The 22,061-nt window shown below is 50.7% G+C and overlaps 1 protein-coding gene across 3 annotated transcripts in view, besides 5 other annotated features; it reads right to left on the reverse strand.

The window, feature by feature from the left end:
• Window positions 1–20,652, reverse strand: part of CORO2A (coronin 2A) — a 71,663-nt gene extending 51,011 nt beyond the window's left edge. Inside the window, exon 1 of one of the 3 annotated variants that reach the window (NM_052820.4) lies at window positions 20,574–20,652. The gene's annotated coding sequence lies outside the window, so the exon portion shown is untranslated. Of the gene's footprint in view, window positions 1–641; window positions 908–13,447; window positions 13,705–20,573 lie in introns of those variants that run through there. The other 2 variants (XM_011518986.4, NM_003389.3) reach the window with 2 other exon arrangements.
• Window positions 1,604–2,437: an enhancer, noted in NCBI's record as "H3K4me1 hESC enhancer chr9:100935871-100936704 (GRCh37/hg19 assembly coordinates)". NCBI's record gives its function as "activates a minimal SCP1, AML or CMV promoter by ChIP-STARR-seq in naive H9 embryonic stem cells {active_cell/tissue: H9 hESC(naive)}" and the evidence as "EXISTENCE:reporter gene assay evidence [ECO:0000049][PMID:30033119]".
• Window positions 2,522–2,816: an enhancer, noted in NCBI's record as "tiled region #7304; K562 Activating DNase unmatched - State 5:Enh". NCBI's record gives its function as "activates a minimal TATA promoter and a strong SV40 promoter by Sharpr-MPRA in K562 cells {active_cell/tissue: K562}" and the evidence as "EXISTENCE:reporter gene assay evidence [ECO:0000049][PMID:27701403]".
• Window positions 19,505–20,159: an enhancer, noted in NCBI's record as "H3K27ac-H3K4me1 hESC enhancer chr9:100953772-100954426 (GRCh37/hg19 assembly coordinates)". NCBI's record gives its function as "activates a minimal SCP1, AML or CMV promoter by ChIP-STARR-seq in naive H9 embryonic stem cells {active_cell/tissue: H9 hESC(naive)}" and the evidence as "EXISTENCE:reporter gene assay evidence [ECO:0000049][PMID:30033119]".
• Window positions 20,312–20,361: a silencer, noted in NCBI's record as "silent region_20117". NCBI's record gives its function as "represses an Ori minimal core promoter by ATAC-STARR-seq in GM12878 lymphoblastoid cells {active_cell/tissue: GM12878}" and the evidence as "EXISTENCE:reporter gene assay evidence [ECO:0000049][PMID:35858748]".
• Window positions 20,432–20,981: a silencer, noted in NCBI's record as "silent region_20118". NCBI's record gives its function as "represses an Ori minimal core promoter by ATAC-STARR-seq in GM12878 lymphoblastoid cells {active_cell/tissue: GM12878}" and the evidence as "EXISTENCE:reporter gene assay evidence [ECO:0000049][PMID:35858748]".

A 22,061-nucleotide genomic window follows, 5' to 3' on the forward strand; every position in this document is an offset into this window, starting at 1 on the left:
GGTATCGAAGGAAGAAATAAGTGGGTTTCATTTCATGTCCAGCTCCAGTGGGCTGGAGGGGTTGCGGAACCCCATGAGGAGGAGGGAGAGAATTCTGAGGCCTTCCGTGCTTGGACTCAGGAGGAAAAGGGTGTGACTGCCCTGGGACAAGAGTCCCCAGATATGACTGAAGGCCTGCCTGCTCCTGCAGATGCTGGAAGCCCCACACCCCACTTCTGAGCTCGGCACCCCCACCCCACTTCTGAGCTCAGCCCCACGCCCTACTTCCGAGCTCAGTCCCACACCCCACTTCTGAGCTCGACCCCACGCCCCACTTCCGAGCTCAGCCCCACACCCCACTTCCAAGCTCAGCCCCACACCCCACTTCTGAGACCCCACACCCCACTTCCAAGCTCAGCCCCACACCCCACTTCTGAGCTCGACCCCACGCCCCACTTCCGAGCTCAGCCCCACACCCCACTTCCAAGCTCAGCCCCACACCCCACTTCTGAGACCCCACACCCCACTTCCAAGCTCAGCCCCACACCCCACTTCTGAGATCGACCCCATGCCTCACTTCCAAGCTCAGCCCCACACCCCACTTCTGAGCTCGACCCCACAGCGGGAAGTGGATGGGAAGTTCTTTTCCGCTACTCTCTCACCTGCTTGTTAACATGGAGATAAATGCCTCTGCTCACCCTTAATCAGTTCCCCAGGCAGAGTCTGCAACAGCTGGCAGGAGAGGATGGTGAGGTACCTCCTCTCTGCTTCCAGCCTCCAGGAGCTCCACCTAAATTGTTTGTCCAGGCTGGGCCTGCAGGCCAGAAAGGCAGGAGGCCAGACTGATTGCCCTTCTCAAATTTCAAGTGCCAGCAGCCTGGGTTTATGAGGATTAAAAGAGTCCAGCAAAGATGTCAGTGCCCCTGTGGGAAAGGCACTTCTGCCCGCAAGACTGGCTGTGAGGACAGGTGACAGCATCACATTTACATGTGTTTGCCCGCTGTGTCACAGCAGAGCATCTGAGGGTGCTCAGAGTCACCTGGAGGGCTGGAAAAAAACAAACCCAGGTGGTGGCTCACGCTTGTAACCCAGCACTTTAGGAGGCCGAGGTGGGAGGATCGCTTAGGGCCAGGAGTTCCAGACTAGCCTGGGCAACACAGTGATTCTGTCTCTACAAAAAACAAACAAACAAACAAACTCCGATTGTTGGGCCCCACCCTAGAGTTTCTGATTCGGCAGCGTGGGTGAGAGCTGAGAGTCTGCACTTCCACCAAGTTCCCGGTGACTAGGAAGCCGCTGGCCCAGGGGCCACTCTTTGAGAATCGCTGCTCTACAGCCCAGCTCTATGATTCACAACTATCGCTCAGTTTACCCCTCACAACCATCTGGGGGCGCGGAGGATTATCTCCACTTCGTGAGTGTGGCCGGGGCACTCTGCAGAGCAGCGGCGTCAGTTTTCTGAGGTTACACGATTAATAAGCAGCAGGAACTCCTGTCCAAAATCCACGGGCTCCATGAGCACTCAACCACCCCCCAACTCGGTGGCCACTGCGGCTCTGCTCCTTGGCTTGCTTTCTTAAGTCTCTTCTCAACATATAAATTGCATGCTCTGAGGCCAGCACTCCGGAACTGGGCGTCCCAATCCTCCTCGTCCTCCTTCTCATGGTGCTCCACAGCCGGAACAAAATCCACCTATTGCGTCTGCTGTCCCATAACAGCTTCGCAGCCCAGTACACGTGCTTAAGATACGGGCTTCAGAGTCAGAGAAACCTGGATCCAAATCCAGACTCACTTCCCTTCTCTAAGTCTTGATACCACATCGTCAGGTTGCTGTGAGATGAGCAAGGAGCTTAAGAGCGTGTAGCCTTTGGTCTGGGTGTGGTGGCTCACGCCTGTAATCTCAGCACTTTGGGAGGCTGAGGCGGGCAGATCACCTGAGATCGGGAGTTCGAGACTAGCCTGACCAACATGGAGAAACCCCGTCTTTACTAAAAATACAAAATTAGCCGGGCGTGGTGGCGCATGCCTGTAATCCCAGCTACTCGGGAGGGAGAATTGCTTGAACCTGGGAGGTGGAGGTTGCTGTGAGCCGAGATTGCGCCATTGCACTCCAGCCTGGGCAACGAGAGTGAAGCTCTGTTCCCCCGCCCACCCCCCACCGCCAAAACAAAAAACAAAAAAAAAAAACCAAAGAGCGTGTAGCCCTGGCCCATGGTAAAGTTCTCAATAAACGGTAGCAACCAGTGGGCCAAGGCAAGCATTTGAGTAGCTTTCCTAAACCTCTCTGTGCCTCAGTTTCCTAAGCTGTAAGCTGGGGTCCATGATAGCACCTACCTTATAGAGGAGATGTTCATTCATATAAAGTGCCTCAGAGCAGTGCTTGGCAAGTGCTCAGCCAGGTGTTAGTCTCCTACATGTATATTCCTGTTTTGTCAAATATATTTCAGTCTGAACATAAGCTCTTCATTGACACATGTAAACAAAAACATTAAATAATAGAGTAGGCTACTGTGAAATCAAAATGTAAAAATCTTGGCAGTGATGGTGATATGGTTTGGCTCTGTGTCCCCACCCAAATCTCATCTTGAATTGTAATCCCCAAGTGTGGAGGGAGGGGCCTGGTGAGAGGTGATTGGATCATGGAGGCGGTTTCCCCCAGGCTGTTCTGGTATTACTAAGGGAGTTCTCATGAGATCTGATGGTTGAAAAGTGGCAGTTTCCCCTGCGAGTTATCTCCCTCCTGCAGCCCTGTGAAGAAGGTGCCAGCTTCCCCTTCACCTTCCGTCATGATTGTAAGTTTCCTGAGGCTCCCCAGCCATGTGGAACTGTGAGTCAATTAAACCTCTTTCCTTTATAAATTACCCAGTCTCAGGTATGTCATTATAGCAGTGTGAGAGTGGACTAATACAGATGGCTGCACAATGGGAATGTACGTCATGCCACGGAATTGTATACTTAAAAATGGTTAAAATCGTAAACTTTGCTATGTATATATCACCATCATTAAAAAAATAATAAAGAAAAGAGAAATGACAGCACTTAGGTATCAGCCCACAGCTTTCCTGAACTCCCTGGCAGCTACATCTCTGCTTCCATGTTGATTTCCACAGAGCTCCTATTCTTTTAGCCCTTCCTGACCCTTGACCTTAGAGTTGGTCCCTGATGTGACTTCAAAAGCAGGGGGTGGGGTGCGGGATGGCCCTCCCTGTCTGCTTCCCCTTTCACTCCTGGCTATTCAGGGCCATCTCTGCCAGGGCCCCAGCAGAGGGGCTCGGTAGGGTGGGGAGGCCTTGCTATTTCCCCAGACACCAGGAGCCTCCCTGCTTCAGGACATGCCTGGACGATATTTCCCCAGGCCCCTGGCAGAGTCGTGGCTCTTCCCACCAACCTCCCTCCTCCTGGTGAAGGAAGGGCCCCTTGAGGGACCAGGGACCCCCTAATTAGCACCAACTCCCACTGGGCTTCAGCAGGGAGCCCTGCTCTGTGCAGGGAGGGCACATAGATATTCCAAGCCCAGTGACCCGGCTCCAGTAGGCTCTGCCCCCTTTTGCTGTGCGATGCTGTGAAAGCCCCTCTCTGGGCTCCAGTGTCTCAACCCATTAAATGGGCATGGGCATCCCTGCCTGTCACCTTCCAGAGGCTGTAGGGAGGCTCTGAGGAAGAATGGATGCAGAGGGGCTGGTTTATTTATTACACAACACAATCGCATGGAGAGGCAGCAGCACAGTGGCTACTGACATGGTAGGGAACCTGCCTGCCGGGCTCAGACATCAGCCCTGCCACACACCAGCTGGGAGACATTGGGCCAGTTATCTACCTCTCTTGGCCTTGGGTTTTCTCATCCATAAAATGGGGATGATAACCATAAATGAGTTAATATCTGTCAAGCACTTAGAACCCAGCCTGGCACATGGTAAACTCAAAGTAAGTATTTGTTAAATAACTAAACTCAAAATAAGTAAATAATGGTAACCTTTATTGAGTACTCACTGTGAGCCAGGCACTGTCCTAAGCTATTTACCTGTATTCATGGATTGAAATGAACATTTAATAAAAATGAATATGGGCTTTGAGCAGGGCTTACAGATTAAACTAGAAGCACAAAGTGTTCATGGTCCTTTATTTTTCCTCAAAGCGGCAATATCAAAAGATCTAAACATTCGGCGGGGGGTGAGGGGTGTCACCTGTGCTGGGAGGCACCAAAACCCTCTGAACCGAATGAAAGCAGAGAAAGCCTTGTGCCCCTTATCAACCCATGAGTGTTGATTTAGAATCTAAAGCTCTAATTCTTCAGTTTTTAGCCAGACCCACTAATTCTCTCCCAAATCATATTACATCTAGGGGTAAGCACCAAATACAATACCCCAGAATTCTGCCCTTCTTTCCCCAGCACCCCACGTAAACAGTCTGATGGTTTTGGCTCGTACCAGTCTAGTGATGGGGAGCTCACCCCTGCTGGGGGAAGATGTGCTCAACCAGTGGACTTCCTCGCATCTACTGAACAGAAATCTACAATTTTCCCCACTGCCCTACCTGTTCCTGGAGCCCCGCCAGCCACATCCATTGTTTCTGCCCCTTGACAGCCTTCCAGAGATTGAAGACCTCTTAACTCAGGACCATGGGATGGCTCCACTGGGGGGTGGGGGTTTCTTGTGTGACTTGGTTTCCCATGTCCTCCCCATTTTGGTTGCCCATGTGCTCCAAGCTCTCCCCATCTTCCAGGTTATACTCGAACTCTGCAGATGGGGGCTGAGAACTCCTCAGCAGAGCAGGTCCCCAAAAGGATCCCAGATGTCACATCTCAGAACAAAAGCACTAGCCAGACCCCAAGAGATCGTGGGGTACAGAAAGAGGAAATGGAGTCAGCACGCCAAAGGCCACCCACACAGGGCAGAACCAGGAACAAGATCCAGGTCTCCAGCCTCCCAGTCCAAAAGAGTACGCTAAAACACAGAACAGAGTCCTGTCTTCCTGTACCTGGATACAGTACCAAACATTTTTGTTCCTTATCTGTGTTGCTCTAAGTAATAGTGGAAACTCGTTTGTGGAGGGACAAATTCCAAAGATGGTTAGGAAAGAAAGGCCTTATAATTGTGAGCTCAAGGGTCATTGGCCTTATCTAGGCTCTCCTGGACTCACACCTTTGAAAGGTGAACTGTGTTTCTCCAGAGAGTGCTTTAGGCTGGGAATGATGGCAGACCTTAGGTCTTTTCTGCTAGAAAGGCCGGCAGAGCATCAGCAGCCCCCACGATGTGAGGGGAAACCTGGAGCACATTCACTCCACCCACATTTTCCAAGTCCCCAGCTGGAGATAGCCCCTGTGCTGGGCTCTGTGGATGGAGGTATTCCCATGGGGTCTCTCCCCTTGGGAATGGGTAGAAAAATAGGGAAATCCCTACTGGAGCAACGCTTGATCACAAACGTGGTGGCGTGTTAGAGGTAGCAGGAGCAAGGAAAAGACCAGGAGGTTAGAGCAATGGGCTCCAAACTTTGTTTTTTTTTTTTTTTTTTTTTTTGAGACAGAGTCTGGCTCTGCTGGAGACCCAGGCTGGAGTGCAGTGGCACAATCTTGGCTCACCACAACCTCTGTGTCCCAGATTCAAGCGATTCTCCTGCTTCAGTCTCCAGAGAAACTGGGATTACAGGCATGTGCCACCACACCCGGCAAATTTTTTTGTATTTTTAATAGTGATGGGGTTTCACCATGTTGGCCTGGCTGGTCTCGAACTCCTGACCTCAGGTGATCTCCAAACTTTTTTGATCATTCACTCCTTCCACAAGAAAAAAAAAAAACAAACTGTGCTCACACCCCATTATCTTATATTATATACAAGTAATCATCATCAACCTCGCAAGACAAAACGTATACACAGAGTGAGATTCATCACTAACCAGAGTGACTGTAAATATCTATTTCAAAGTGTCCCCTAACATAAACAAACAAACAAACTTGAGCTGACAAACTTGTCAGACTTATTAGCTTGTCACTGTTTTTGTCCTGGGTCTTGTAGCTGATGAAGTGACTGCAATAGAAACCCCAGTGTTAATTCTCTCACTTTTTTTCTTTTTTAAATTTATTTTTATTAAAAACATTTTTTTAGAGACAGAGTCTCGCTCTGTCGCCTAGGCTGGAGTGCAGTGGTGCCATCATAGCTCATTGTAGCCTCCAACTCCTGGACTCAAGCAATCCTCCTGCCTCAGCCTCCTGAGTAGCTGGGACCACAGGCATGAGCCACCATGCCCGGCTAATTATTAAACTTTTCCTTGAGGCGGGGATTTGCTATGTTGCCCAGGCTTGTATCAAACTCCTAGCCTCAAGTGATCCTCTCGCCTTGGCCTCCCAAAGTACTGGGATTACAGGCCAGCACTCAACCTCTTCCATTCCCTTGTCTTCATGTACTAGCATTATTAGCATAGTAAGTAAGCACTGCTAACAAGTCACAATTTTTCAGTACGAATCTTTAAAAACCACGTGTCCATTCTGTAAGCGCTAGTTAGCTTAGAGTGGTGAATATAATTTGTAAATCCAATCTGGATTAATTAGTCTGGATTAACCTGGATTAATAAACCAGGTTAATTAATTGGGATAACTTGCCAAAAACAGACTAAAGAGTAAGGGAGTCCTCATTACCCTTTCTCAGAGTGTTTCCCCTTCTCTCTGGAGACTCCTGGACCACATGAGACAGGAGACTCCTGGACCACATGAGGCTGCCTGACACCCCAGCTGGCGAGTGTGTCTCCACCTGGCAAATGTGACTAAAGCTGAATTCTTTGTTCTATTTGTTTAGATATTTTTTCCTGCACCCCAATGTGCATCTTGCATAGATCACTTTGGAGGCAATTGGGATAGAAGATGAAGAGAGTCGGAGATAATTTTTAAGCTCAAAGGATGGCAGAAATGATCTAGTCTACCCTTCACTTTGCAGGTGAGGAAACAAGAACCTGAGAAGGGATGTGACTTGTCCAGGGTCACCTGGCTGGTCAGTGGCAGATCCTGGAGAGAATGCAAATCTCTAGGCCTTGATGCTACAAATGGCTGCTAAAAGTGGTCACAGTCTAGCTCTTTACCGGTCCTTTTACTTTACTGGTCCTTTTACTTTACTGTGCCTCTTGGTTGGGTTCACTCTGAAGCCTCAGTTTCCTCATCTGTAAAATGGAACGAATCAAACCAGCTCTTGGGCTGCTGTTTGAGTGCCGGTAAAGTCTCGCTGACATCTGCGGACTGGGAAGAAACCCTTCCCTAGGCTCTGGAAGGTCCTACTTGAGTGTCTGAGATCTGGGACCGCTAGAGCATGAGGATTCTGCCTCTGCCTACCAGCCACAGCAGTGACCCTGCAGGACGCGGAGACCCTGCTGCCCAGCATTGTGCTGGCCTGGGCCTGGCGTGTTGGTGGGCAGCTGTGGACATGGGTCCTGGGTCTCATGAAGCAATGACCTGCAATCCTGCTCCTATCTCTCATCCTCCCCATCTTCCAGGTCCTTCCTGCCTCCTCCAGGCTGTCCTCATCTCAGATCCCACCTCTCTAAAGCTGAGACCCCACTTGGGCTACTGGTAGATGGCAGCATCCTCTATTCCAAAACCTTCAATAGCTTCTCAGCTGGGGATTCAAAGCCAAGGTGTGGCCCAGGAGTATATCAAGAAGGGATGTGAGGCAAGCAGGGAAGGGGAAGTGGCAGGGATGAGGGCAGGAGGGAGGTGAGCAGTCGGCCGGGCGCAGACACTCAGGAAGTGCATTTTCAACAGAGAAATTAAAAATAGGCCAGGCGCGGTGGCTCTTGCCTGTAATCCCAGCACTTTGGGAGGTCGAGGCAGGTAGATCACAAGGTCAGGAGTTTGAGACCAGCCTGATCAACATGGTGAAACCCCGTCTCTACTAAAAATACAAAAATTAGCCAGGTGCGGTGGCAGGTGCCTGTAATCCCAGCTACTCAAGAGGCTGAGGCAGGAGAATTTCTTGAACCTGGGAGGCGGAGGTTGCAGTGAGCCGAGATCACGCCACTGCACTCCAGCCTGGATGACAGAGTGAGACTCCATCTCAAACAAAACAAAACAAAACAAAACAGCAAGCAAAAAAAACTGCCTCAAAGTCTGACATTTTACGATCATAATGTGCCTGCAATTCTAAACAACGTCAGTGCGTCAGTGCTAAAACGCTCCTCCCTGACAGGGCAGGCTGCACCTACCTCCCTGCCCTTGGCGTCTGGCAAATACCTTATACTCTGCCTCTTATACTGAGCCAAACCAGACCCTACGTTCATCGCATCCCATATAGGCCTAGTAAGTTTTCTCCTCTCCAGTCCTTGGGTTACATCATTTCCTTTGCCAGTAATGCCCTATCCACCACTCTGTATGACCGGCTGCTACAAGGCTCAGCTTAGAGAAGTGCTCCCTCTTCCAGGAAGTCTTCCTGCAAGCATTCCCATCCATCCCCTCGCAGGCCATGGCTCCCCTCACATCACGTTTTCATCTCCAAAGGAAAACTCAAGAAAGGAACCCGCAACACAGAAAACCATACAAGGAGAGTCACTTCTGAGCTACGTGACCTCAGACAAGTCCCATGGCCTCTCTGAGCCTCAGTTTCATCTCCTTAAAAGAACCATCTCATCTCCAAATACCCTCCTTTCCTTGACCTGCACCATCCCTTCTTTTGACTGCACAGTGAACTCTGTCATTAGGTGAAAATGCTCCACCTGCTTCCAAAGTCACTAATTCAAGCACCCCTCCTGACCGCACCCTCCCCACCTCCAGCCTCCTGTCACCTGCCACATGTGACCAGCCCTTTGCCAGTGTCCCCAATGATGGATCAGTAAAAACAGGTTCAGGCTCGAGTAGAGGGCCCTGGAAGCCACAACCAGAGACCCCTCTCCAGGATGACACAATGCATCAAGCAATGCCCCAACTCCACCACCATGCTCAGCAACACCTTTGCTGAAAGACCAGCTCCAGGGATGGTGTGGGGGCCATGTGATTTCCATGGGCATGTTGTGGAAGGCCATTTCTTGTCCCCAGTAACCTGGGACATCAGCTCACTCTTATCAACACCCTAAAATCCCTCACGCCACTGACTTTTTTTTCACATCATCTGGCAAACCCCAGCACTGGGTGAACCTGGATATCTAAGCTCAGTTGGGAGGAAAATGGTGGACAATAACCAGCCCTGGGAAGGAGGCCCCAGTGGGGTGAAGGCTGCTCCCATGTTGCTTGTGTCCCCCAGCGCGACTCCCTCTGCAAGTCAGGCCATGAGAAGGGCACTGCCGGAAAAGCCAGAACCCACGGGCACCCACGTGGCCTCCTTCTTCTTGTACCCAATGCCAATCCATCACTAATCCCAGCCTCCTGTCCCACCTTCAAATCATCTCTCTCTCTTGCTTTTTTTTTTTTTTTTTTTTTTTAAGAGATGAGGTCTCACTATGTTGTCCAGGCTGGTCTGGAACTCCTGGCTTCAAGCAATCCTCATGTCTCAGTCTCCCAAAGTGCTAGGATTATAGGCGTGAGCCTCGGTGCCTGGCTCCAAACATCTGTTAAACTTGGTCATTTAGTCTCAGCCACCAACCATCTTGCCCTTGATCTTTCCGAAATATGTAAACGTGAGCAGACCCCTCGGCGGCCATTGTTCTACTTCCCCAGCCTCACCTTGCCCAGGGATCTGAGCTGCACACATCACGGTGCTTTCAGTTCTTCAAAGTCCTGTTTCCTCCAGCCGGAGGGCTTTGGCAAGGCTGTTTCTCCTATGCAGCGTGCCTCCCTCCCCACCCTTGCCTGCTCAGTCCCTACTCATCTTTCAGATCTCAGCTCAAAGTCCTTTCCTTAGAACATCCCATCCATCCCCTCGCAGGCCATGGCTCCCCTCACATCATGTTTTCATCTCCAAAGGAAAACTCAAGAAAGGAACCCGCAACAAAGAAAACCATACAAGGAGAGTCACTTCCAAGCTGTGTGACCTCAGACAAGTCCTATGGCCTCTCTGAGACTCAGTTTCACCTCCTTAAAAGAGCCATCTCATCTCCAAATACCTTCCTTTCCTTGACCGGCACCATCTGTGCCCTGGACTGCAGCCTTTTGCAGTGACCCCGGACTCAGCACATTCTCTACTCTGCACGCCCTTCACTCCTCTCTCCTCCTCCAGATTCTGTGGGACTCTACGATTACTGTCCATCTCTCGTTTGGTCTGTGAGCCCTCAAAGGCGGGCCTGTGTCTGTTTTGCTGTGCTTGGTATCTCTAATGCTTTACATACAGAAAGTAATCAATCGTGAACAAAGGTCCTAGTCAAAAAATTACATTGAAAGATAACTTTTTAGGGAGCGAATGAATGGGTCAGTCTGGGTGAGGCTCCAGGATTATCTGTGTGGGGCAGATATCTCTACAGTCTTTCTCCAGGGCAGGCCACACAGGCCGAGCCACTCCTGCAATGGTTTCAACAAGGATGAGGCTAGTGACCCTGCCAGCAAGCTCTCAAAGCTCCTTCCTGTTCATTATCTCCCCAGCCCTCCTCCACACTCCCCACCCCCATTACTCAGAGTACCAGGCTTTTAATGACCAGGCCACTGGAGCATTTCTGAGCTGGCATTGTGGAGATTCTGTTCTTCCCAAGGGCCAGGACTCAGGAGCCTTTTCTTTGTGGGGTTGGATGAGGAAAAAGAAGTGGAATCTAATTAGACCAGGTTCAAAGCCCAGCTTTGCCTCTTGCTGGCTGCGTGACCTTGCAAATTTACTCAACCTCTCTGGGCTCCTGCCTCCTTATCTGTAAAAAGAGGACAAGACTATCTAGCTACAATGCGATGGTGAAGATTCCATGAGTGAATGCACACTAAGAGTCTAATTGGGGACCCGCCACATGTCAAATGATTCCAAGACAGCTTTTTACATTTTAACATCTCTGAAACTGGGATGCAACTTACAGTTTCTGTTGCTTTTTCTTTCTTAATGGATTCTAAAATAAGGGTACATCTCACAACAGATAAGCCCTGCCTTGAATGAAATACCGCAGTAGCTTAGATTCTTTACTTCCCTTGCAAAGAGGCTGAAACGCCTGTGAGATGGGATCAAAGACCAAGAACACAAATCGTTAAGGGACAAGGGTCTATTGAGGCCTAGCATTCACCCTGGATCTCCAGAGCTTCACGGAATTTGAAGGCTCAGGCCCTTCCCCGGCCTGGCGCCCCTCTGGATCTGTCTCAGCTGTCCTAGTCTTGCTCAGAAAGCGGCCCAAACTTCAGCAGGACCCTCACCTCTGCCTCCAACCCTCTGTTGCTACTGATGTGGTAGGTTCCACAGTTGGACAGTTTGGTCACAATGCTACTGTGCTTGCAGCCACCCAAAACCCCAAGTCTTTGTCCCAAGAAAAGAGTCCTAGTTCCCACCTTCAGAAACCCCCACAGACATCTCCTCCAGTGTGACTCCATCAAGCCATCCTTGGACTCTGCTCCCAACTGTTCCGAAGGCCAGCACTGGGGATGTCATCCAGGCCTTACCAAAGTCCTTATGCTGTGAGTGCTGACTTCATCCCTGCAGCCTGCTGATGTCAGACCGGCCTGAGTATTTTATTATCTAAATATCATTATAACTTGTATTGCATACATAGTTGGCCCTCTGTATCTGTGGGTCCTGCATCTGTAGATTCAACCAACCTCAGATGGAAAATATTCGAAAAAATTAAGGAAAAATAACAATACAACAATTAAAAAATACAAATTTAAAAATACAGTACAATGGGCCAGGCATGGTGGCTTGCACCTGTAATCCCAGTATTTTGGGAGGCTGAGGCGGGCAGATTACTTGAGATCAAGAGTTCGAGACCAGCCTGGCCAACATAGCGAAACCCCATCTCTACTAAAAATGTAAAAAATTAGCTGGGTGTGGTAGTGCATGCCTGTGATCCCAGCTACTTGGGAGGCTGAGGCACAAGAATCACTTGAACCCGGGAGGCGGAGTTTGCAGTGAGCTGAGATTGTGCCACTACACTCCAGCCTGGGTGACACAGCAAGACTCTGTCTTAAAAATATGTATATACAGTATAATAACTAGTTACATAGCATTTACATTGTGTTAGGCATTGTAAGTGATCTATAGATGACTTAAAGTATACAGGAGGGTGTGTGTAGGTTACATGTAAACACTATACTATTTTATATCAGGGATTTGAATATCCACAGATTTTGATATCCTTGGGTGTCCTGGAAGCTGAATATTTAGGAATGACTGCACACATATCACCAAAATCTTTACAGAAATAAATTATCTATCAAGTATAAAATTATTTTATTTTATTTTTTTTTTTAATAGAGGCAATGTCTTACTTTGTTGCCCAGGCTGGTCTCAAACTCCTGGCTTCCCAAAGTGCTGGGATTACCAGGAGGAGCCACCATGCCCAGCCAAAACATTTTAAATGTAGAAAAGACCAAAGAAAACAAAATTCTACCACCTAGTGATAATTAGCTTGATGTCTGTCTGAATATTTTGCTATGTCTGCATGCTAGGGAAAGATTCTTTTCTCATATCCAAACCCAAACAGTCTCATTCCACACATACTACTCTTTCTCTTACCGTGACATGGTGGCCCTCTCTCTAAACAGACTGGTTTCTTCATGGCGGCCCCACAGTGCTCCCGTCCTCTATCCCTATCCCTGGCAGGTCCCAGGCCTCTACAGGGACGTAGTGCTTTGGGTCTGACGTTGTTCCTCCTCATCCTCAGAGTGGGGCTGTGATCTGTGATGGGGCCATGGCTGCCTTCGGGGACCCCACCAAACAAAGCCACACCCAGGCACAGAAATACTCCAGAGCACTTAAATCAAGGGGTGTGTGGTTAATGGCGGCTGTCTGTCTCTGTCCGATTTGATTGTAGCCCTTTCAAAACCAACTGAAAGTTCTCCCAGCCCCAGATGCTGGCCTGATATTTCCCTAACCCCTAGGGGCTCCAGAAATCACAATGAATAATGAATAGGTAGGTGCCTGGCATTTTGTAGTTCATAAAGCGCCTCCTTACTTTTATCCAATTTAGAGCCTTACAACAAGCTTATACATTAGGCAGAACAGGTATTTATTATCCTCATTTTATAAATGAAGAAACTGACGCTTAGAGAAGTGGAGTGACTGACCCAATATCTTCCCTTATTTTTCTACCCTTCATAGTCTGGCCGTCTCCAAATCACACTAACAACCCAGCTCAGGCATCAGCTCCTCTAGGGAGCCTTCCATGACCCCCCACTTCCACCCCAGGCTGGGTTAGGTGCCCTCCTGGAGGCCCCACAGCTCCTGGGCTTCCCTATGATAACTGTAGTGCCCCTGCCAGGCCATGGGCCCTCACGGCTGTGATGGGTCTAGCTTGTCTGCATTCACACTCCCCAAGCATTAGAAAAACATCAATAGGTGGTTGCTGGGGTGAAGATCATTACAATGACTAAGGCAGGAATTATTCTTCCCCTTTTACAGATGAGGACACTGAGTCATAAAGAAGGGTCAAGACTTGCCTAAGGAGCATATCAGCAGCGGGGTCAGCTCTCCTTCTTCAGAGGCCTGGGTTCTTTTGCTCCACTGCATCCCTTGTTGTCCGCAATCTTAGACTCCAAACCATTGCTGGAGGCTCGTATCTGATTTCTCAGGCAGGTCTACCTGGTCAGCCAGGTGTGAAAGGGAGGTTGGCAGGAGGGGGCTCTGTCTGCAGTGGGCTCAATTCCCCAGCCTGGGCCAACACCGTGGTGCAGCCTTAGGAACAGCCACAGGAGTTGCCCAGTTATTGAGCACGCCATAGACCACGCCCTGTGCAAGAACTTCCCTTGCACTTCTTACTTCATCCTGTGGCTGGGGCCGTTATGATGCCATTTTGCAGGTGGGCCAGGAGAGACCCTGGCCCAAGGCCACTCAGTGTCTGAGATGGGGCTAGAAGCCAGGGCTGCATCCCTGGCAGCAGGCAGCCCCAGGAGTTTGCTGGCACCAGAGCCAGAAATAAATGCACAGTCAGAGTACAGGAGACAACTCTCAGGGGACCTGCAGTGTGGGCAAAGCCCCAAACTCACCTCCCACCCAGGGCTGGCTAGAGGGACAAGACTCTTGGGCCCAGGGAACACACGCCTGCCCCTGCACTGCCTGTGGGCAGGGTCATGCCATTTGCCAGGGCCCCTACAAACTCCAGGCTCAAGGCCAGGCTAGAAGCAGCTGTCATATCAACCCTGCACAAATGCTCAGCTCCCGATTTCTTATTTGAATGAGACTTCACCTATCTGCTCCTGACTGGCTGACAGATGCTGAGCAAGGCCCCATCTCTTATTGGGCCTTACTTTACCTATCTGTGAAATGATGCCAGGAGAGGGGTGGCTGGCGGGGGGAGGGGCTAGGTTTGGGGGATGGTATCTTAATGGAACCCACCAACTCTGACATTCCAGGGATGGACTACAGGCAGCAGGGGAAGGTGATTAAGCCCTGGACACTGGTGGCAGATGACATAGATTGAATGTATGATCCTGGGCTAGCTACCCAACTTCCCTGGGGCTCAGTGTTGTCATCTATAAAATGGGAATGATAGTACAAAAAAGACTGAAAGTAAATGTTCATATTGATTATGTGGGATGAGAAGAGGAGAAGATATGGGTAATTTATTTTGTCTGTTTTCCTGCCTTTTTCTGAAATTCTCCATTATCAAGTGTTTATAATTTTAAAAATGTATTTTCTTTGTAAATTAACTTCATGAGATATCATTTACATATAATATATCCATTTTAAAACGGGAGAAATAATAACAAACAGTATGTACCCTATAGGTTGTTATGGGGATTGGGTTAACGTATATAAAATATTAGATGGTGGTAAGAAGTGCTAATAAGTGTTTGTTAAATATATAAGCCCAGGGTCAGCCTGGCTTCCTCCTCATCCTCCTCCTGCTCACCTGGCCTGGACCCCAACCTCTCCCCTAGCACTGAGCTCACTGCCCAGGTCCCACAGCAGCACTCCAGGCCTGGACTATTTCTACAGCCATCTCTCTGCACCTGTCTTCGTCCGTTGCTGCAGCTACAACAAAATATCATAAATTGGGTGCTTTGGCCAGGCGCGGTGGCTCACGCCTGTAATCCCAGCACTTTGGGAGGCTGAGGGGGGCAGATCATGAGGTCAGGAGATTGAGGCCATCCTGGCTAACACTGTGAAACCCCGTCTCTACTGAAAACACAAAAACAAAATTAGCCGGGCGTGGTGGTGGGCGCCTGTAGTCCCAGCTACTGGGGAGGCTGAGGCAGGGGAATAGCATGAACCCGGGAGGTGGAGCTTGCAGTGAGCCGAGATCGTGCTGCTGCACTCCACCCTGGGCGACAGAGCAAGACTCCATCTCAAAAAAAAAAAAAAAAAAAAAAAAAAATTAGCCAGGCATGATGGCGGATACCTATAATCCCAGCTACTCAGGAGGCTGAGATGGGAGAATCACTTGAACCCGGGAGACGGTGGCTGCAGTGAGCCAAGATCACACCACTGCACTCCAGCCTAGGCGGCTGGGCGAAACTCCATCTCAAAAAAAAAAAAAAAAAATGTAGGTGCTTTATCAACAATAGAAATGTATTTCTCACAGTTCAGGAGGATGGAAGTCCAAGACTAAGACAGCAGATTTGGAGTCTGGTGAGGGCCCACTTCCTGGGTCATAGAATGGCGCCTTCTTACTGTGTCCTCATGTGGTGGAGGAGGTGAGGGTCTCTCTGGGGCCTCTTTTATAAGAACACTAATCCCATTATGAGGGCTCTGCCTTCCTGACCTAATTCCCTCTCAAAAGCCCCACCTCTTAATACCATCACCTTATGGGGTAAGATTTCAACATATGAGCTTTGGAGGAACATAAATATTCAGACCATAGCAATCTCGCAGGAATCACACCAATATTCAAATCTGGCCATGTTCCTACCCAATTCAAAAGCCTTCCATGGCTCCCCGCTGACCCTGGCTGAAAGTCCTAGATTCTCCATGAGACACAGTTTCAATAAGCCATGTAACTTTTCTGTATTTTTGTTTTCTTAATTGGAAAAGCGGGATAAAAAGAGTAGCTCCGTCATACACTCGCAGGATTCCATTATGAGCATGGTGGGGTACACAGTCTAGCCCAGGGCCTGCCTGCTCCTCTCTTCCTCTTCTCCCGCCATCACTCTGTCCCAGCTCGTGCTTCTCTGAACATGCCAGGCATGGTCCTGCCTCAGGGCTTTTGCCCCAGCTGTTCCCTCCACCTGAATGGCTGTTTCCCCAGAAATGAGCCTGACTCACCCCTCTCCTTCAAGCCTTTGCCTAAAAATCACCTTCTCAATGAGGCCCCCAGCCCACCCTAGTTAAAACTGCCCCCTCACACACCCTAACCCCTCCTATGTTCTATTTGCTCCACCTCATTTATCACTGATTTTATTTATCACCTATTCATCTATTTTATTTATTGTTTTTCATCTGTCTTCCCCCCATCTGATTGTAAGCTCTTTGGGGGAAGATCTTTCTGGTCTATTTTGTTTAATATCAGCGCCTTCCCCCTTTCCCCAGCACTTAGAAAATACCTAGTACAGGTCAGGTGTGTTGGCTCACATCTGTAATCCCAGCACTTTGGGAGGCCGAGACAAGCGGATCATTTGAGGTCAGGAGTTCGAGTCCAGCCTGGCCAACATGGCGAAACACCGTCTCTACTGAAAATACAAAAACTAGCTGGTGTGGTGGCACGCACCTGTAATCCCAGCTACTCAGGAGGCTGAGGCATGAGAATCACTTGAACCCAGGAGGCAGAGGCGGAGGTTGCCGTGAGCCGGGATCATGCCACTGCACTTCAGCCTGGGAGACAGAGCGAGACTCTGTCTCAGAAAACAACAACAACAACAAAAAACAACAACAAAAACAAAACAAAAGAAACAAACAAAAAAACTAGTACAATGTAGGTGCTTAATAAATACTGGCTGAATGACTAATGGAATGAATGAACATAAAGCACTTAGGACAGAATTAGGCAGGCGGTAAACCCTCAATGAATGTTAGCTATTATTATTACTGTTAGTGATTCTTCAAAGTGAGGCTCCCATGTCCCTCCTCCTTGACTTCTGCAAGCTCATAATCACACCTTCCTTGTCCCCACCACACCCTGCCAATCTCTCAATTATAGTAAGGAGCACACCGCTCTTTAAATACCTGTATATCTTTTTCCATTTAGGCTGAACCAAATGAAATTGCCATTTCTTGTAAGTCAAAAAAAGTCACATACTGGCCGTTTCATGTGGTTTAACCTAGTAAGTTTCCCATAGCAGCCTGCAGACCCCCAGGAGGCACAGTTTGACCACAGAAGCAAAGTCACCTACTCCTGGCCCTTTAGACCAGGTGTGATTGCAAAGCACGTCCAATCTGTTCTGAAGGAGGCAAGGCATGGATTATAGACTTAAAACACAAGAAGATTCTGCTGAATTATTTTCTGGACCTCCTGAGATTTGGCAGAGAAGATAAAAACACACCAACTTCTAAAACGATCCAGCTTCTGGCCATTTTGAAATAGCAAAGGTTTAAGGCTGAAACCCCTCGGTGGGGAGCTAGCTACCTGCCTCTAAGGGGATTCATTTAATGAATCTCCTTCCAATCTCGGCTTTGCTACTGAGATTTGTTCACTCTAAGAGGTTGGCTGTCAGAGCTCAAACAAATTCAGCAACTGCTGAGTCTACCCCCATTTCACAGATGGAGAAAGTGAGGTCCAGAGAGGGGAACGGATCGGCCCAAGGTCACACAGTAGGGAAGAGGAAGACTTCAATCTGGAATCTATGTCTGCTGACTTTAGTCTCATGGTCTTTCTTCTGGATTAAACTGTTTCTATGCTGGCCAGACTCCGGTAATGTAAGCTTCAGTGCCACTATTTTTTAAGCTGTATTTGTCAAATGAAATGTTTATTAAGCCTCAGATAAAACTGAACACTTCTTCACTAGACGGCAACTCCTTTATTTTTTTTTTTTTTTGAGATGGAGTCTCGCTCTGTCGCCCAGGCTGGAGTGCAGTGGCACAATCTCGGCTCACTGCCACCTCTGCCTCCCGGGTTCAAGTGATTCTCCTGCCTCAGCCTCCCGAGTAGCTGGGATTACAGGCATGTGCCACCACACCCAGCTAATTTTTATATTTTTAGTACAGACAGGATTTCATCATGTTGCCCAGGCTGGTCTCAAACTCTAGACCTCAGGTGATCCGCCCACCTTGGCCTCCTAAAGTGCTAGGATTACAGGCATGAGCCACTGTGCCTGGCCAGAAGACAACTTCTTACAAATAACAGCACTACATATGTCTCTCTCCCTAGTTACTTCCTTAGGATAAAGTCCCCAAAGTAGCCGGCTAAGGGCAAAGGGCAAATATGATCATTTTCATGATAACAGGCTGCCAGGTTGCTCTGCAAAATTAAATGCCACAGGCGAATCCCTATAGCCTTGCCAGCACAGAGTTTCATCTTTTTATTTTTATTTTTGCTAATTTTACAGGAATAAATACAGACTGCTTTCATTTATTATATGTTATGTGTTTTTTTGGAGAAAAAAAGGCACTCCAATCTTGGAATCAGGATCCCTGGGCTCGGTTGCTGGTTTGCTGTGTGACCTTTGCCCAGTCACATCCCCTCTGGCGACAGGGGATGCCTATCTGTAAAATGAGGGGGTTGAATGAGACGACGTCTGAAGGCTCCTTTCAGCTCAGACATTCCATGATTCCATGGTGCATTTAAAAAGTATTAGCAATTAAAGTCATAGCATGACTTTTTAATAACCAGAATCTGCCATGCTCCTAAATCAGGCCAAAAAGGCTTGAATTAGGCAAGCAGGAAAACAGGGCCCAGATTATACATGTGTCGAGATGACAGGAGACCCAGGTAGCACTTAAGCCTGTGCGTCGGAGCTGGGCTCATGGGCCAGCACATATACTTTGCCTGCTTTTACGAGGGGATAATAACACTCATTTGTGGTCCAGCTCCCAGTCCTGTGCAGCTCCACCATGGCCGCAGGGCAAGGTCATAGGCACTACTTCAGCCCTAGAATTCCATAGACTTTCAGTCCAAGGTAGCTCACCCCCAGGTTCTGCTTGAATACCTGTGATGACAAAGAGCTCACTACCTGTCCAGGGGCCTCCTGCCCTCTTTTGGCTGTTAAGAAAATCCCTGGGTGCAGGGCAGGTCATGAAGGGGACAAGAAAGACCAGGAGGCTGAGAAGTGATTCCTAGAAACTGCTCCCTCAAACAGGGCAGGCATCAGGGAGGTGGAGAAGAGGCCCCATGGGGCAGGAAAGGCCTGCAGAGGGGCTCCGGCTCTCCTCACTCCGGACCTCTCAGACGGTCCCCAGGAGGGGCAGGAAGCTGGGGAGACACATTCCAGTCCTGATGCACAGGTGGGTTCTGAACAAGCCCCAGGAAAGCGGAGGCCCCACAGCCTGCTCCAGGGCAGACACCTCGGCTCCCTCTTCTTGCCTTGGCTCCCTGGGATCTGATGGGAGAAACTGCTGGGCCTGGGGCTGCTGGGTCTGGAGATGAGCATATTTAAGGGACCTGACCACTGCCCCAGGGTGAGGGAGGAAGGGTCAGAGGTTGTTTGTGTGTCCAGAGCAGGACCAGCAGGAGAGGCAGTGACTGGGTAGCAGATTCCAGCTTGGTTTACAACTAGTGAGATTCCTATCACAAGGAGTGTGCAAGGGGGCAGCAAGACCTTCCAGAGGGGATCTTACAGAGGGGCTGGGCCAGATGCCATAGGTCTTCTTTACCTAGGGAGCCTGGGACCACAGTCCCTCAGACCTGTGCTCTGCCCCATCCCTTAATGCCACGCGGACACAGCACCTTGGCACTGTCACCCCTCTGAGGTCCAGGCGTGGCCGCCAGTCACCCCTTGTCACACCAGCTAGTGTGTGTCACACCTTATCACACACTAGCTCTGGGACACAGAGCTAGGCACCAGCACCTGGCCCGGGTGGGGAAGGGGAAGGAGCTATCCTATACCACTCTCTAAATCGAGGTGCCTACGTGGGGCTGGTCCAGGCAGTCGTGCCGCCAGGAGTCCAGCCACCTCCAACCTAGGGCTCCTCCAGCCCCAGACGAGTAAACCCTCTTGGCGGGCCGGCTGATGCCCCACATGCACGCCCAGGCCGGCTTGGCGGGGACCCGGGGATGCCCCCCACCCCACCGTTTCCTGTACCAGGAAGCTGAGGCCCAGCAGGTAACGCAGCCAAGAGGGGGAGGGTCCCGACAAGAGTCCCATGGAGCACCCGGGCCACAGCAGGGGCCTGTCGGGACCGGCTGGCCGCGCCCAGAGTGAGCTTCCCTCACCGCGGGCAGGAGGGGTGGGCGGTGCAGACAGTGCTCATGAGGGCAGCGAGCCGTCGGGAGCCCGGACCTCGAGGCGGCCCCTCCCAACAACCCCGCGAGAAGGGGGCCACCAATGAGCAAGCTATCCTGACGGGGAAACTGAGGCCTGGAGAGGAGCAGTGCTTTGTGCAAGGTCACGCAAAGGGGCTGAAAGCCAGGTCCCCCGCGCTCCGAGCCCCGCATCCCTCCCTCTCCGGGAGCTGCAGCCGCAGCGCGCACGTCCCGCCCGACGCCCCCATCGCGCAGACCGGGAAGGCACGGCCGGCGGCGCAGGGCCGCCCTACCTTGATGACTGCCGCGCAGGTGGCGGTGGCGGCGGCGGCGTCCAGCTCCGGCTCCGCGCTCCTCGCCGCCCGCCGACTCCCGGCGCCCAGAGCCGCCGCCGCCTCCCCCTGCAGCCCGGCGGGCGGGGCCGGAGGGCGGGGCGGGGGCCTGGCCCAAGGTCCGCCCTTTTGCCCGCCCCGCGGGTCCGCCCTGGCCACCCTTTTCCGCCCCCACGACCCCGACCGCGCTCCTGGCTCCCCGGGGCGGGTCTCGGGGCGCGCACACGTGCTGGGAACAGGCGCGCACACGCCGCAGTGATTGGGGCGGGCTGCCGGCCACCAGGCGGAGGCTGGGGACAGGCAGAGCCGCGGGCCCCACGTCGCGCCGTGCCCTCGCTGCGTGGTGTGGGATGAGGAACCTGACCTCCCGGAGCCTCAGTTTCCCCCGTTGTGAAATGGAGACAGTAACCGCGTCGGCCTCTTAAGGCTGTTTGAGCCCTGGATGTGACGATCCCGGCCGGGTACAGTGCGCGCGCCGAGCCCGGCCAGGGAAGCGCTCCTTTCCCCGAGCAGTTACAGCGGTTACCGAGGCTTCCCCGTCCGCAGGGAGGAGAGGAGCCGGGAGCGCCGCTGGGAACCGAGGAGGACGCCCTTCCTTCTCTCGGGACCAGCCGGGGGCGCTGCTGCCAGCCTCGCTGGCTGGAGAGCCCTGAGGACACTAGACAATGGGGAGGCCCTACCTTTGGGTACCACCCCCACCTAACACTACTGAGCCACGCACTCCTCTAAGCGCCTTCTGTGCATTACCTCGCTTCACTGTCACACAGGCCTATGAGGTTGATACCATTACTCACCTATTTAACACAAAAGAGCTGAGGCACAGAGATATTAAGTACCTAGGTTAAGATCACCCGGCTAGTCATGCAACCCCAGGCAGTATGGCTCCCACGGCTACTAAGCTAACAGCCACTCCACTCCACACCACGTCTGTGAAGAGCTCTTGGTTTTGTTCAGTAGAGACGGGTTATCTTGAGGGCCTTGAACTGCTCCGTGGCACATAGTAACCACTCAATATATAGTTGTGGAGTGGATAACAGAGTACACTGTTACTACTTTACATATCTGTATCGTTTCTTCTAAGCTTCTAATAATAGTGGCTTTATTTAGCCACTATTATTACCTCCATTTTACAGATAAGAAAACTGAGGCTTGGAGTGGCAAGGTACTTAGGGAGCTCTTGATTCTCTCCTTAGAATGTGACTCAGCTTCCATAGTCCACTGTACCACCCCCCTGCCCAGAGCTGGACGGGCTCCCTGCCTACCACCCAAAGCCCAGTGTGCACTATGGTCCTGAAAACCCCATCCTACAGCTCTGATTCAGACCTTCTGGAGCTGGATTGCCCAGCAGGTAGACTGAACGCATGCTTCTGGTGTTAGCGTGCAAGAGTTGGGTATCAAGCATATGGATGGCTGGGCGCAGTGGCTCATGCTTGTAATCCCAGCACTTTG

This window comes from Homo sapiens, chromosome 9 (genome assembly GCF_000001405.40).
Source record: "Homo sapiens chromosome 9, GRCh38.p14 Primary Assembly".
Lineage (NCBI taxonomy): Eukaryota > Metazoa > Chordata > Mammalia > Primates > Hominidae > Homo > Homo sapiens.